The sequence below is a fragment of the Homo sapiens genome, chromosome 5 (assembly GCF_000001405.40).
Source record: "Homo sapiens chromosome 5, GRCh38.p14 Primary Assembly".
Taxonomy (NCBI): domain Eukaryota; kingdom Metazoa; phylum Chordata; class Mammalia; order Primates; family Hominidae; genus Homo; species Homo sapiens.
Window position 1 is genome coordinate 53057509 of NC_000005.10, and position 16827 is coordinate 53074335.

The 16827-nt window shown below is 36.0% G+C and overlaps 1 protein-coding gene across 6 annotated transcripts in view; it reads left to right on the plus strand.

The window, feature by feature from the left end:
• Positions 1–16827, plus strand: part of ITGA2 (integrin subunit alpha 2) — a 105428-nt gene that overhangs the window by 68157 nt on the left and 20444 nt on the right. For 4 of the 6 annotated variants that reach the window (NR_073106.2, NR_073103.2, NR_073107.2 and 1 more), the window contains 11 exons: positions 517–593; positions 2366–2504; positions 3393–3538; positions 5278–5421; positions 7404–7607; positions 8333–8469; positions 9610–9749; positions 12601–12752; positions 14430–14540; positions 15105–15187; positions 15610–15751. Coding sequence is in view for 1 of the 6 variants with exons in the window: in NM_002203.4 (NP_002194.2) it covers positions 517–593; positions 2366–2504; positions 3393–3538; positions 5278–5421; positions 7404–7607; positions 8333–8469; positions 9610–9749; positions 12601–12752; positions 14430–14540; positions 15105–15187; positions 15610–15751 (1475 nt within the window). In the remaining 5 variants the exon portion in view is untranslated. Of the gene's footprint in view, positions 1–516; positions 594–2365; positions 2505–3392; positions 3539–5277; positions 5422–7403; positions 7608–8291; positions 8470–9609; positions 9750–12600; positions 12753–14429; positions 14541–15104; positions 15188–15609; positions 15752–16827 lie in introns of all 6 variants that reach the window. The other 2 variants (NR_073105.2, NR_073104.2) reach the window with 2 other exon arrangements.

The window sequence follows — 16827 nt, forward strand, 5'->3', positions numbered from 1 at the left end:
TTGAATTCTGATTCCTAATAGCTAACTCAGTTATCTCCCAGCAGTCTTCACTACAGATCAATTGCCCAGCCCTTCCAACTGCATCTGAGATATGTGTACATTATCAGTACCCATATTTCAAAGCTAAAAATTCAGTTAGTTTCTTAGCTAGTAATGATCAAGTTTTTAAAAAATTATCATCTCAGTTTTCACCTTACCTTATACCCTTTGTTGAGTGTCCTTTGGTATCAAGAACGTCATACATATTCTGCTAAATACATTAATGTTCAATTAAAGTTAATGCCAACTTTGAACACTACCTTGGAAGTGTTGTTATTTCCATAACCTGCTAGAACACTTTCTTAGTAATTTCTTCTTCCCAGAATATGCAAGCTCTGTATTTTTGGGTGAGTATTGGAACAGTGTGTGTTTGTGTTTGTGTTTGTAGGCATGTGTGTACATACGTGCCTGCTTGTGTTTGAAAACTTGATTTAAAATTACTGACAGTAATACAATTTTTAAAATTGAATGTTCCAGGTACTGTTCAAGGAGGAGACAACTTTCAGATGGAAATGTCACAAGTGGGATTCAGTGCAGATTACTCTTCTCAAAATGTGCGTATATCAGATAGCTTCAAGCCATGTTGTCATTTGGCATAACACTTCCAGACACAGTAGCCTTATACATAAAATGGGAAGACAGCCATCTAGGGATCAGCCCTTCTGATTCCTAGTCACGGTCATTTAGTTTCTTTGTGCTGCTGATTTACCTCTAAAATTTGAAGGATAATAATGTCTTCCCTTCCCTGTTTCACAGGGATCTTATATGGGGGAAAACTGATAGTATACCAGAAAGTCTTTGAGTACCCCAGGGCACAGACTGTATATTAACTTAAGGTATTATTCCTGCAGGAATTTTCTTTGAATCAATTAACTACTGGAAATGTTTGTTAAAAACACGTACTCTTGTCATCACCGTCATGGTCGAATTCTGAATGGTCATAGTATCTTTTTCTAAGAGCAGACAGAAAAGAGTTGAAAAAATAAGGAGGTAGGAAAAACGTGAGGTGGAATTGGAATACAACACTGTCTTTTCAGCTCGGGGAAGTCTATTTCTATCTCTCAGAAACATCCACCTCCTGGGCCCCTGATTCTAATTTGAGTCAGGAGGTGAGAGAGATAGTGAAAGGAGGCGAAAAAAAAAAGAAAGAGATCCTGGGAATTATTTAAGGAACAGTAGGAAATCCCAGGATTTGATCGGCAGGTCAGAGGACCAAGAACAGCTTGTTTTCTATCTAGAATCAAAGGAACTGACTTTTTCTGGATCATCAATCCTTAGAGATGCTCATAGAAGTTATGGATCTTTCCCTCAGAAAAAATGTAAATGAATCTATGCACGGAGAATTTTGCACACAATCCCATGAGGTTTTTGTACATACGCTGAAGTCCTTTCATGCACCCCAAATCCAGAGTCCCTCAATTTACTACAGTCATTCACATAACTTCATGGTCTCTTATCCTCAAAGTAGAACACATCTTTTCCTTACTTGCTATTTTTCATGGCTTGTATTTTTTAGTCCAACATCTTATCTTTGGTACGCTCTAAGATAGAAGAACAAAAAATTAAAAATAGTGTATCTCATCCTCACCAAATCTGCCTCGTTTGATGATTTATAGCATTGAGTGTTTAGATTGGGTTTCAAGTCAATCCAGAGTAGGCATCTTCCTTTGCCCTCCCCACAGGGCTGACAAATGGTTATTTTCCTTCCAATAGATTGAATGTCACAGCTAAAGTTGCCTCTTGTAGCTGTGCTATTATCAAATAGATGGAATATAGGAATATACTGGAACATTTGAGAAGGGGTCAGGAAGAGAGAGGAAGAAAGCTGAAAGTAGAACAGGTCAGAAGAGGGCCTCCCGAGCCGTGTCTGGGATAGCAGAAGTATCTCCGTCTCTCCCGTGTCAGTACTTCTGTTTCTCAAGCATGTCTCATATCCGGCTGTGAGCTTTCCTTATAAATATGTGGAGTGAGAGACTCACTTCTGACTCCTTTGTAAAGTTCATAAGGGTTTACCATTGGCAAATATATGCCTTTGAAAGGGAAATTTGAAGATGGCTCTGTACCTGTCCTGTACTACAGGTTATTACAAAGGTTTGTCTGTATAACATATCATACTAAATAAAGTCCAAAATAACACAGCCAATGGGAAGGCTTGTTCTCTAGCACAAATATATTAAGACAATTCTACAATATGTCAATATATGTTCATATATATTTCATCATTTTTAATAAATCTAAACAACTTATTTCAATGTTTTGCCTACCCTGCATTCTTATGTTTTAAAGGTGATTTGTTTCAATGATCTTCATTTTTCAATTATTTTAGGATATTCTGATGCTGGGTGCAGTGGGAGCTTTTGGCTGGAGTGGGACCATTGTCCAGAAGACATCTCATGGCCATTTGATCTTTCCTAAACAAGCCTTTGACCAAATTCTGCAGGACAGAAATCACAGTTCATATTTAGGTAAGGCATGGTAATAATTGGCTCAGCAAACTTAAGTTCCCTTGCTTTAAACCAGCTCTTTGTTGAATCTCAGGGTGAGTTCAGCAAAATCCTTGAACTGTCATCTAATTATCATATTTATTACACATACATATGTTGTCTCTTTGCCAATCGGGCCTTAAGGCATAACTACTTATTGGAATACTATATTATACTCACTAGTTTCTTCTGGCTGGTCAAGTGGTTGTAATTCCTGGAACATGATTGTGTTCCTCCAAAATGGAAATAGTTCCCAAAAGTCAATACAGTAAGTGATAGTCTTATAGTATTTTAGAGCTCTTAGTCTTCTTGTTCTTATAATAAGCAGCCACTGATTTTGCAGACTTACTATGGGACAGTTCCTGAGCTGCTAGTCTATCTACATAAACATTTAAATCTTTCCAACAAGTCTTTCAGGGATGTTTTGCCTTTGAGAGATAGCAAGATTAACAACTTGTCTAACGTTCAACAACCTAGTAAGCGGCAAATCCAGAATCTGAACCTCAGCCTGTTTCCAAGACCTGTGTTCTTTCTACTGTGCAACACTACCTTTTAAATACATTTATTCATTCGTTCAAGAAATATTTTTTGAATGCCAGGTTCACAGGTGGCTGATGAGAACAGCGTGGAATCTAGAGGCAGTTTTATAGGTAGAAGTCCCACCTGCAAAGGGAAGTGCTGCAGGTCAAAGGACAGGAGCAATTCATCTTAGAAAAAGGAAGACATGTCCTCAGTGATGTATTCAGGAGCACTAGAAACTTTGCATCACATCTAACACAAAAGGATCTCTGGTCACCTTTACTCACTTCTTTTAACTTTATTTTGCTCAGATAGTCAATGTTAATCACTCTGTTGCTCCTTCCCTTTTAGGTTACTCTGTGGCTGCAATTTCTACTGGAGAAAGCACTCACTTTGTTGCTGGTGCTCCTCGGGCAAATTATACCGGCCAGATAGTGCTATATAGTGTGAATGAGAATGGCAATATCACGGTTATTCAGGCTCACCGAGGTGACCAGGTAAATCTCACTGTTTAGCAGGTGAAATTAATTTTAGGGGCAACTGGGCAGGTGGGGAGTCAGGTGAACAGAAATGGAAAACAACATGGCCTGAGTGCCTACTCTGTGATTGGCTCTGTAATCTGAGTTTACTTAGTGTATTCCTTAAATCATCACAACAATACCAAGAAGACAGCCCTCCCTTTTGACAACTTACTGGGAATTTAGCTAGCTTTCTAAGGTCACACAGCGTCCATGGATTGAGCTGTCATTAAAACTCAGTCCTTTCTGGACTCAGAGGCTGTCCTGAATGATTACATCCCCTTCATGTTTTTGACTCCCTGGATTAATAATGCATGGATATTATTTAGTTGTGATGGCAGGCATGTAACCACTGCTTTGTAGGTAAGCACACACTAGGAACAAGGATTTGGAGAGGAAATAATGAGAAGAAGGGAGCAGCACAACATTATAAGGACTGAACTTTTACATCTGAACCTGTCAGAATGTCCTGTTGGTTTTGAAGATTCTAAAAGTAAAACAATTATCTTCTCTGCCACTTTCAGCTGATGGGTGACAGTTTGGTAGTTAGACCCTATGATGAATCCCAGATATGGCCCACTACAGCAAAGATCTGTTGCTAGAGCAAAGGCCAGCTGATTGCTTCCTGTTTCCTTACTAAACAGTTTTGACCCAGGGGCTTGACACACATTTAAAATGAGCATCACTAATCCCTGACAACCAACAAAAAGTGGTTTCCTTCTTTAAGCTGGAGAAACTTACAAAGATTTCTCTTCTCTGAGATTAAGTGTGATCCTGCTGTTCCTATGGATTTTCTAGGAGTAAGAAGACCCGAGTTCTTGACTTCCGTGACCACAAATTAGCTATGGTCACATACTTTTCTCTCTTTTTTAATATTTTAAAGAAGTTCTTCTTTAATTTAGAAAATAACAGTGACAGTGTTATGGAAGGAATCATTTCTTAGTCATTTCTAAATCCTCAAAAAGTGTTCACATAGGCATGCATTGAACGTTGTTGAATGGGATGAAGGTTCAAAGTCTCAGCTTTTCTTATTTTAATTTATCTCCACCTTGTCCTCCTGTCCCAATCTATCCAGCAACTACTTACCTGTCTCATATCATGCCATGTACACTTACATCATCATATGTGCTTTCCCACTTCCCTCTGCCTAGAAAACTCCATGTCCTTCTTACTTTGCAATTTGAATGATATTTTAACTTTCTAAGCCTTCCTGACTCTCCTGCTCTCTGATCACTCAGCCTTTGGGACTTGCCTCTATTACAATTTATTTTACTATAGAAGCTTAATTATTTATTCTCCCTGCCTCTACCCCTCCTGCCTTTTGCTATGACAAACCTCACATACCTACAAAAGGTTTGCCTTATAAGTATGTCTTTGACCCCCTGGCATCAGAAACACCTGGAATGCTAATTTAAATTGCTGTGTTCTGGATCACATCCTAGACATTACTTCAGAATCTCTAGAAATGGGTCTCAGGGATCTGTATTTCAAAGGCATTTTCTTGGAGATTCTTGTGCACACTAAGATTTAAGAACCAGGTGTTAGATGGTGTTAGAACCTGAGGGAAGGAACTGTGCTCTCTGTCTTCATGTTCCAAGCACTTTGCAAATAGTAAACACTCAATTTTTGTGTATTGAATGAGCAAGTAAATGTTCAGTGTAATATTAGAAGTATATGAATCCTAGGAATTCTAAGTTTAACATGTTTTATTACTCCAGATTGGCTCCTATTTTGGTAGTGTGCTGTGTTCAGTTGATGTGGATAAAGACACCATTACAGACGTGCTCTTGGTAGGTGCACCAATGTACATGAGTGACCTAAAGAAAGAGGAAGGAAGAGTCTACCTGTTTACTATCAAAGAGGTAAAAAAAAAAAAATAAACTAATAGTTTAATTTGCTTTAGTACTGGTAATTTAACTTGCATTTGGAAAGAAAAATTTATTATTATTGAATGATAATTTGCACAGATAGTATGGTTTACATTTCATCATTTTTGAGGATGTCCCCATTAAGTTATGATTTTAAAAATCACATTAACAGGAAAAACTAGAGTTGAATGTATAGTGTACTGCCATTTTCCATGAGAGGTCTTTGAATATATAGTCTCTTATGCAAATAAAGCCATTATAAGTGCACATCGTTTATTGAAATATGCACACACACAAACATTTGTGTATTTCTCTAGTATCACATGTAATTTTTTGCGATAAAGACAACAATAACAGGGCAATGCTTTCTTGTTATCAGTTGACAGTGAAAAACAGAAGTTTTACCAAGCACTTTGTAAATTCCTTGTGATCTCAGATGCTTCCTACATTAGTTTGTCAGGAAGTGTCATTGCTTAGTGTAACATTTAGGCATGTATCCAACTCTTGAAGTTTCAAGTCCTTCCACAAAAAAACACCATACATTAACATGGCAAAGCATAATTTTTCCAATTTGTGGACTGAACTCTCTAAATCCATGTATATAAGTGTAGTGAACTCCATGAAATAAAAAAAGAAAACCAAATTAAAGGCACAGATTGACATAGAAAATTATATGCTCCTTAGTATATAAGAAAAGGAGAAGCTGATGTTAAAATAGTAAATACTATGTTTAAGTATTGTGATATTTTGTACCACCTGATTTATTGATATTTATGTAAAAATTAATCTTTTAACAGAAGTAATTAATTAAAACAATTCTAAAGCAATTATACATATAAAGAATGTGTAATTGAGTATCAACAAAGGCTGGACCTAGTTACTTGTTGAAAAACTGACAAATCCCCCCTTCTTTAAATATTTCTTACTTGTGAGATATACTGAATTATCATTAATTGTTGAAAATGAACAGATCTTTTAATACCGTGTCAAACGCAGTAAAAATTTGTATAAGATTATATTAGAGGAGAAAGAACACTGACCCAGTTTCATGGTTGAGAAACATTGCTTTCTTGTGAAGTCATGAAATATTTCCATACTTGATCATAAAATTGAAGAAAAAAACTGTGTTTTACAAGGAAACGTCTTTTCCTTTGCACAGAATTATTTAATGTTTTTAATAATGGAGATATTAACAATCTCATTTTCTACTTCCTGTACCACTATAATTATGTCACTATTTGGTAATTTTTACAGAAAGCCTAAATTAAGATATTGTGTTTTATTTTGTTCTGTGTCTGCTTTAATTTCATTCAAGATATTAGTAATTTTCACCAGAAAAATTTTAAATCAAAAGGTTGGAAATAGATGAAGATCGTATTATTGAGAGGAAAATGAGACCAAGAAATGGATGCTGTTCAGCTACAGTAAAGAGAATTATCTCCTTTGACCTTGGTTTATGAGCAGATATTTATGACCTTACTGAAATTCTTATTTATAATTCTGATCATAAATAGTTCAGGTTTAAAATTCTATCCATTTTTAATATTAAAAAATTAGTTTGGTCATCGATTGCTCTGAATTTTATTTTCTTTTTTATTTTATCATATTTCTTTCACTTTTTTAAATAGATGGGGACTTGCTCTGTCACCCAGGCTGTAGTGCACTGGTGTGATCATAGCTCACTGCAGCCTCTAATTCCTAGGCTCAAGCAATCCTCCCACTTCAGCCTCCTGAGAGCTAGGACTACAGCTGTGTGCCACCACTCCTGGCTAACTTTTTACAAAAATGTTTTATAGAGACAAGGTCTCACTATTGCTCAAGCAGGTCTCAAATACCTGGCTTCAAGTAGTCCTTCTGCCTCAGCCTCTGGAGTCTTTGGGATTACAGGCATGAGCCACCACACCCAGCTGCTCTGAATTTTAATTATACAAGTTGTAAGGTTTGCTTTAATCATCCTTTTGTTTCCCCTTTGCAAGGGCATTTTGGGTCAGCACCAATTTCTTGAAGGCCCCGAGGGCATTGAAAACACTCGATTTGGTTCAGCAATTGCAGCTCTTTCAGACATCAACATGGATGGCTTTAATGATGTGATTGTTGGTTCACCACTAGAAAATCAGAATTCTGGAGCTGTATACATTTACAATGGTCATCAGGGCACTATCCGCACAAAGTATTCCCAGGTAATCCATGAGCTGTTATGGTGATGTATGTATTTGTGGGTCTTATCATATTAGACATAGAAAGCGTCATGTAAACCATGCAATCCGTCCGCCTTATTTTGTAACTTCATTCTTTCACTCAGCAAATATAAAGTGAGCCTCTACTGTGTGCCCAAGCACTGTTCTAGAGTCTGGGGATGCTATAAGAACAGGACAGACACAATTCTGATCTTTGTGTGCCTTATATTATATTGGAGGAGACAAATAAAAAGAAAGAAGTAGATAAGATAAAGTATTCCAGATAGTAATAAAGGAATTTTTAAAAAAGCAAATGAAACTAAAATAGGAAATAAAATTTCAGCAATAGGAGTATCAGGTGGTTGAAGGGGTGACTAATGAGGCCTCACTGAGCAGCCAATTTTGGAGTAAGACTGGAAGGAAAAGAACTAGGAAATTAACCCTGTACCTGAACTTGCATCAATTTGCTCCAAGTCCACTGATCTTTTCACTGGTTTATGATTTTTTATTAAAGATTTATGCTGTCCCTTCGATGAAAATGTGGCTGTAAGAGTGATGCAGAGATCAGATAATAAGATGTGATTAAAAAATGAATCTTTAGAATTTGTAGAGAATAAACACAATCTGGGACATTACTATATAGAAAATATAATAATGAAATTCAGAGGCTGCCATTTTCTGGTTCAGCTGTTGTGTACTATAATTTCGTGTCAAACCTGCTCTTTTAGAAAATCTTGGGATCCGATGGAGCCTTTAGGAGCCATCTCCAGTACTTTGGGAGGTCCTTGGATGGCTATGGAGATTTAAATGGGGATTCCATCACCGATGTGTCTATTGGTGCCTTTGGACAAGTGGTTCAACTCTGGTGAGTCAGGAAGAGCCAGACACAAACTAACTAAAAATTACCTGCTAAGAAAGCAGAACAGATGTCTGTACTGGTATTATAGAAATGCCACATGCATTCTATAAGACTATAGGGAATCGATGTATCATAGTTTGCACAAAGGAATAAATGTGTTTTTCCAAGTAGGAAAAATAGATATATTTGCTTACCATTAGAAATATAGTTCTCTCCTCATATGGTGAGTAAAACAGTACATAGAAAACATAAAGTTCTGGAAATGGTATCCAGGCTATTTCTGAATGTTATCTTCCTATAAATAGCCTTATCTCAGCATACAGAAGGGAAACCTCATGAGAGTGCATTCAAAAATACTGAAAATTCAGACCACACAAGTAAAGTGTAACTTCTATGTGACTGAATGGTATATTTTAAAATTATTAGTCATAAACAATAAGCCATTATTTAGGTTTAGCTGACCTCTCATTGACCTCCACAGGAGTTGAAGATTCAGAGAGAACAGTGTGAAGGTCATGTGATTCAAGGTCAAAAATAAGTATATTGGGCCGGCAAGGGAATAGAATCAGAAAGAAGTTGTTTATTCAATCAAGAATCTCCATTCATTTGTCTCTGTCAAAAAATGTGCTTTAAATGTACAAATATTTGAAGAACAGAAAAATAATATTCATTGATTATTTTTTATTTCTGAGTTTAATGATACTATTTACAAATCTCACTTGTGCTTTTAAAGAATGAAGTACATTATTTTTATTGCAGAATGAAACTTTTATGTGGAAAAAATAAAACTCAAGAATAATACTTAAGACTTTAAAAAAACAAGAAAATATATTTACTGAATAAATCAGTTAAAATCATTTCAGAGTAGCATATCAAGAGTAAATACACATATCCCAGAACCTAAAGTATAATAAATAACTAATATGTTAAACATGTATTGTGTTAGTGATGCAGTCACAAATTAAAAAAAAAATTATCTCTGTCTGCCATCTTAGAGCTTTCAAATATATACTACTGCTAAAGTGCTTTGATAGAGAGTAGAGAGAAAAATTCAGTAATGCTGGTACTGGGTCCTCTATGATAAAGGATATAATACGTGTGCTCAGTAATAACATCCATCCATCTGTTACTCTTTATGTCTTTTAGGTCACAAAGTATTGCTGATGTAGCTATAGAAGCTTCATTCACACCAGAAAAAATCACTTTGGTCAACAAGAATGCTCAGATAATTCTCAAACTCTGCTTCAGTGCAAAGTTCAGACCTACTAAGCAAAACAATCAAGTGGGTGCGTAGATCTGAAATAATCTGTATAGAAATTGGTTGGCTTACAGAGTTTTAGTCCTGAATATAACATATTTTGGTTTGTAGGCCAAGAGAAATAAGGGTTTTAGTTATAGACACTTAAGTTTCCTTACACTGGAGATGCCCGAGAATGGTTCACTAGTCATGGAAGATTTGTTTAGATCTTCCTTCCACATCTCTAGAAGGTTCTGCTGCAGAAAGTTGTAATCTCTATGACATAACCAAGGGCCCTCCTGCTTCCATCCTTTGAGTTTCTCTTACCTCCATTTCTCTTACTTAAAACCTTGAGCATACACAGATTATGCTGAACTGCCACTCAAATGACTATATCATGTTGGCTATGCCATGATCTATATAGGACAGGTTCAGTAAAAGTATCAAGTATTTTTCCTGTCGTTGAGGAATTAATAAACATGAAATAATGAAAGAAAACATGAAAAGCAATATATAACTTTTACCCAGTGTTTTAAATGTTCTAAATAATACAGAGAAATGAGTAAAAGTCTGAATTATGTCTCATCAGATGGGGAAGGATGAGGAAATCATTGTGGGCAAGCATCAGCAGGAATTGTTGTCTTTTCTCTTGGGCTGGCCAAGTTGTCTTTCAAGGCCTGGCAGAGGTCCTGCCTCCTCTTCAAAGCTTTTTCTAAGCACACTATCTCACCTTCATCTCTTCTGCCCCAATTATCTCACCATGCTCAATGCATAGCTTGCAATTTAACACTTGATTCAAAGCTACCTTCTTTCATTAACTGCTGCTTCATGGGTCCCAATTCCCATTCCGTCAGAATTTGGCTTTAAACTTCAGAACTTGTAGTTCCTATAGGAATTCAATTAAGTGACAAACATATTAACTTAAAGCTGAAAATACAGAAGCAGGTTATTTGCCATAATTCATACCAAGATACAAATAAGATGAGAACACAAAGCAAAATTAGATTCAAATCTTAACATGCTTTCCATATTTTCCTACTTTTCATATCCATTTGGAAGTTTTCCATGCAGATGTTCAAAGATTGACCCAATTTTGAGTAGCATATGTCACTTGACCTGCCATGTAGCACATCTAACTGAGCACACATGATAGTTAAGTCAAAAACCGTTGCTGCATAAACATTGTGGCTAGTCTGCCTAATAGGTTAACTTGGGAAATATATTATTTGGCAGAAACAGCAAACTGGTCAGCTCTTCTGGCCCCGAAGCATAGAGGTGTCTCATGTATCTTCCCTTTTTGACTATACTTCAACCCTTATGGTGATGCACACTCAAAAATTCTACTTTCAGAGAATTTCCTTCCCATCCACAGGCTGCCGAGGGTTTCTGGCCTTTCTTACTATTGGGCATCTTTCCCTTTAAATCTTTTTTCCTGATGCCTTCAGGTCCACAAAGACAAGCCAAGTGAAATGATTGTGAGCTCATTTGTCACTTCATTGCTTGGCAATAATAGTATGTAAGACGTGAATCCCATCTTCACAACTGTGGAAAGTGAATTTATAAAGCATATGGTTTCTATCATTTATTGCATCAGGTGCACACTTCACTTTAAGATTAATAACATAGCCCATGAAGCGATGTATCATTTTTATAAAGCTGCTTGAAAAAAAAAGGAAAAGCATTATAATGTGGACTAACTTTGTCCTAACTGCACTCACCTCCTTGCCATTGTTTTTCCTTTACATCATCTTCACAACTTATTTTTAGTTTATTTAATTCTTTAATATTTTATCTATCTTTGTTGGCATTGTTAAGTCACTGGAGCAAGAAAAATTGTACAACATATATGATAGATTTTTTTCAAGGTAACATGTAGAATTCATGTTTTGGGAAGTATATACAACCTTTAAAATATTGAAAATAATAAAGTAAGATAGAATAACCCCAAATAAGGCAATAAGGCAGCTGATGCTGTGAATGGCACCAGGTGTTCTCTCTCAATTTTGGACACACGGCCAGTGGACTTTAGTTGAAGGTAATAATTCTGATAGTTTAGACATCGGCTACTGACATCAGTTATTATCACATAATTTTTTTTCATGAGTTGGTATTAGGAAACAGAGGTTCAAAGAGGGTAAGTAAATTGCCCCAAGTCACAGAGCTCATAAACAGCAGAATTAGGATTCAAACCAAGTCTGCCTGACTGAGACTTTATTGCTGCAGTGTTGCATGCATTTCCCTATGTGAGCATCTAGAATAGGTCAAGCACTGTCCATGTTCCCTTAGAGTATCTCAGTTAATCTTCACAATAACAATTAATTCTTACAACTGGATGGAAGCAGAAAGAATATGAGCTCTTATTTCAAAAATACCCAACTTTTACTTCTGACTAGCCATGTGAACTTAGGTGAATTATTTTACATCACTTATTCTAGTACATTATTTGAAAAATAAGATAATAAAATTCACTTTCCAGATTCATTGTAAAACTTGTATGGCATACATGAGAATGTGTCCAGTTGCAGGCGCTCAGCAACTGTTCCTTTCCATTCTGTGTCTCCGTGTTATGAGTAATGAAACCCGTGCTTGTGGGAGTGAGCAATTTGCCCAGGTTCATCACAGTAGGTTTCCTGGCGGCAAGTCTAGTTTCCTTTCCACTGCTCCCAGCCACATTTCTCTGAATCACATTTCTTTGTATGCACAGTCACCTACGTCACATCAGAGCTAGAATGACAAATGCTTTGTGGTGCTAGCTATGGTTCACAAGCCACCAATATGAAGACTATTTCCATATTTTCTTGATGTGAGATACTTTGTCCAAGAAGACACAATAAAGCAAAGATGCTTTTTCCTATAAGTTGATTTGAAATAACATTTCTTTATGATTTTTTTTATCATAGCCATTGTATATAACATCACACTTGATGCAGATGGATTTTCATCCAGAGTAACCTCCAGGGGGTTATTTAAAGAAAACAATGAAAGGTGCCTGCAGAAGAATATGGTAGTAAATCAAGCACAGAGTTGCCCCGAGCACATCATTTATATACAGGTAAGGCCTCAGGAACATCCCTTTTGACTTTATTTCTTCCTAAAGACGAGAGAGTGGTAAAAGTCAAAAATGGAAGCTTATGAGTTAGAAAATGCTCACCCTTCCAATGAATGCCTTTCTTATGTAATTCCATAAATAAGAAGCATATTTACTTTATGCTAATATTTATGGTCACAATCTATTATATAAGTCAGCAACATCAAATTTCATTTAGAATTGCAATGAAAGGGCTAAAAATACAATTCTTAAAGAAATCATAGATACAGTGTTTTCTTAAATGTTTAACAGAGAGAACTTTCCATTGGCAATAAATGTTATTTTGATATTTTCCTATCAGGGAAAAATTTTATTTATTGTTCAGCTACTGAAAAATAACTCCAATTGTGGTTTCTACTATTAGATTTAAGTTAACATAGATGAAATATAGTAGATTATGAGATAACAATTATTTGTTCTAATCGTATGCTGTAATTACTGTATTTAACATGGATTTTGAAAATTTCCCAAGTGAGAAAAATGCTTTTCAGGAGAAAACTTCCAGCCGGAAATTTATTTTATAAATGATGTGAATATTTCCACCTTGGAAACCACATAATGGCATTTGAAAGGATAATTTACTCAGGAAATCACTTTTTTAAAAGGATATTTAAGTACTTTCTTAGAATACAGTTCTCAGAATTTAAGGTGCGAAAGAACTGCCAGGGAAACTTTTGGGAAATGTATATTCTGGGTTCTTACCATCAGAAATCTAGGTTTGAAGGCCCAAGGAATATGCAGATCTAAGGAGCAACCCAAATATTTCTGATGTAAATGGATGGTACAGAGAGATCTTACTTCAAGAAATGCTAAGTGTAAACACTAGAAAAACATAAAGTTGACGGTTAGATGAATTAAAATCAGTTGAGTTGTTTAGTTCATTTTTCAATTTGAAGGTTTCTTGTTTGTGAAGACGTAGACTTCTTTTTTGTTAAAGTGACAATTTTATAGATTCCTTAAAGGAAAAAATCTTATTTCCCTTCTCTCCCATCCTGTGCTGACTGGTGGATCAGATTATACATGCAATCCCTAGTGAGGAAATGGAGACAGCCAAGCTGTTTTTCTTTAAAGTTTAAAAAAACAAAATCCTTTTTCACTATTTGATATCAATGCCAGTTAAAGTACATCCTACTTGCTAAGCCCGCAGCCAGCCAAGGAAACATCTCCTCATAGTCCAGAGCTGTCATGGTAGACAGGCCCCCAGAAGGAATAAGTCCTTCTGGGAGGACTTCTGGGAGGCCCCCAAGAGTTAAGAGTAAGTCCTGCCTGTGAATGGACTAAAGAATACCAAGATACCGCTTCTGAGGAAAAGGCAAATTCAAATGTTAGGGTTTCATTTGTATAGACATAGTGCTTTTTTGACAAGAACTGATGAGCTTAACTAAGAATCCCTGCTTCAAATTCTTACTAGACCCAAGTCTCTTTTGGTTTCTTAGTAGAAGAGAGGCTAAAAGCAGAATTAGGATGGAAGAAAAGAAGCGAGAGTCTTGATTATTCACAACAAAGATATTCTACATAATTGAGAGCTGACTGTGCTCTAAATTGTAAACACATTTGGAATCATTTTCTTGTTTTAATGTTGCTATGCTCTAATAAACTGACTCTGTCTCCCCCTGTATGTTTGTGTGTGTGTATGTTTAGGAGCCCTCTGATGTTGTCAACTCTTTGGATTTGCGTGTGGACATCAGTCTGGAAAACCCTGGCACTAGCCCTGCCCTTGAAGCCTATTCTGAGACTGCCAAGGTCTTCAGTGTAAGTGCAGCTTACACTTCCTGGATTTAGACTGGCAAATAAAGTTCCACAGTCACTGCAATAGTGTCTGAAGGATGGTTAGGATGCAGCCTGAAAATTCTTAATTTTCTAAATGAACTACAATTACATATGCATAAAGTTCACTAACACTTAAGTTCCATGACAGCAGGGATTTTTGTCTTTCTTGTTCACTGCTGTGTTTCCACTCCCTAGAGCAGGGCCTGGCCCATTGTATGTGTTCAATATATATTTGTTGAATAAATAAATAAAAATAAAGTAAATGCCTTGTGCTCATACTCAAAAAATATTACCAATACATATGAAGCTCTGCGTATAGCTGTCCCCGCCATAGACACTTTCATCTAGCTCCCCCTGTGCAAATGATTATCTTGAATTGTGTGTTTATTAATGCTTTTCTTTATTATTTTGTTAAACATTTATATATTCCTAGAACATTGTTTGGTTTTGTACTTTATGTAAATAGAATAATATTCTATGTATTCTTCTGTAATTTGCTTTTTCAACCCAAGAGCAAATGTATGGATCTTTTTTCCTTTTTCGTAGATTCCTTTCCACAAAGACTGTGGTGAGGACGGACTTTGCATTTCTGATCTAGTCCTAGATGTCCGACAAATACCAGCTGCTCAGTAAGTTTTACTTTAAAGCTTGTTGTAAAATGTAGAAATAAAAGACATACTAGATTACTTTATTCAAACGAATGTTTATAGAGTTTTTCTACAAAAGAAACATTCATAACTCATAAATACCTTTAAAAACTAAATTTCAATGTCTACCATCCACATAGGAGTAAAACAATAAGAAATATAAAATTATCTGTATTTAAATGGTTCCATTCCCTCTAATACAATAGCAACAAAGAACAATCCAATTGCATTTACTTATTTGTTGTCAGTATCATTTTGATGCAAAGATAGTTTATTACACAGCAATTTTCTCAGTATTCTAAGTAAGTCTAAAGAGTTTAGTTTTTTAATGAGTGAAATTTTAAAATACTGGCCTTTTTATTTAACAGTAATGGCTTTTCCCCCCTCCTTTTTACTTTTAACAGAGAACAACCCTTTATTGTCAGCAACCAAAACAAAAGGTTAACATTTTCAGTAACGCTGAAAAATAAAAGGGAAAGTGCATACAACACTGGAATTGTTGTTGATTTTTCAGAAAACTTGTTTTTTGCATCATTCTCCCTGCCGGTATGTGATGAGACCCTGTACTTACTTCCACCATGCTTCCTACTTATAGATCACTGTCTTCTCTATGTCCTCTGAGTTGTTTAAAGAAGCACCTTAACCCTCAACATGATCAATCTGAACTTTGTGGCTTCCGACTAGTTAAACTGCATGAGAACATAGTCTGGCTCTATATCTAGATTCTGCTTGACAGCTTGGGTCAGTTTTTCCCTTATCCTGAGACTTGGCAGCAGTAGCCAGACACTCCCATAACTCTTCTTGAGCTATCAGTGTGATGAGGCTGCTGCATTCTGCACAGATGTGGTGCACTTGCTCTGAGACATTTGAGTCCCAAAGCTTAGCCTGAGCTTTGCAACTATGGTTGTTGCTGCTGCCAAGATGATGCACGCCAGCAAAGCCAACTAATCACATTGACTTGATCATTATACCAGGAGCACACTTGACTGTGAGTGCTCCCTGGTCCCTCCTCTACCACCAAATTATGAAGAAAAAAGGGAGAGAAGGAAAAGCTGAGATTTTCCAAATGAGCTATCTGATTAAAGGATTAAACAATGATTTCATTTAATTTAGAGTTAATGTGATCTTAATAGGCTTAGAGTTCTAAACCTAACCTGACCTTGGTGTTTAAACACCCTGTGCCAAGTGGCAACTACTTCCTTTAAAGGGAAAAAAAAACCTGAAGAAAACTAAAAAAAAAAAAAAAAAAAAAACCCTCAAATTACTTAAAATACAGACAAACACCAACATATGATTTTACTTTCTTCTCTTGAAAATGCTTCAAATAAATTGAGAAGAACATATTCCTAAAGCCAGCATTTCAAAATATTGAATTAAAGCTATTCGTGCATCTGAAAATAAAAACTATCATTTTTTTCTGGGGAAAAAATACAGTATTTAATCTTTTCTTTGTTTTGTTGGATGTTCTAGGTATCTTTAGGGTTAGCAATAAAAGTAGTATATTAGCCACCTGGGCAGTATAAAATTTCAAGTCTTGAGGTATAATAAATTATTTCAGTATGAACCAACCTTACTGCTAAAATGCCACTGTACCTCTTTTACCAGGTGCGTGCATACACACA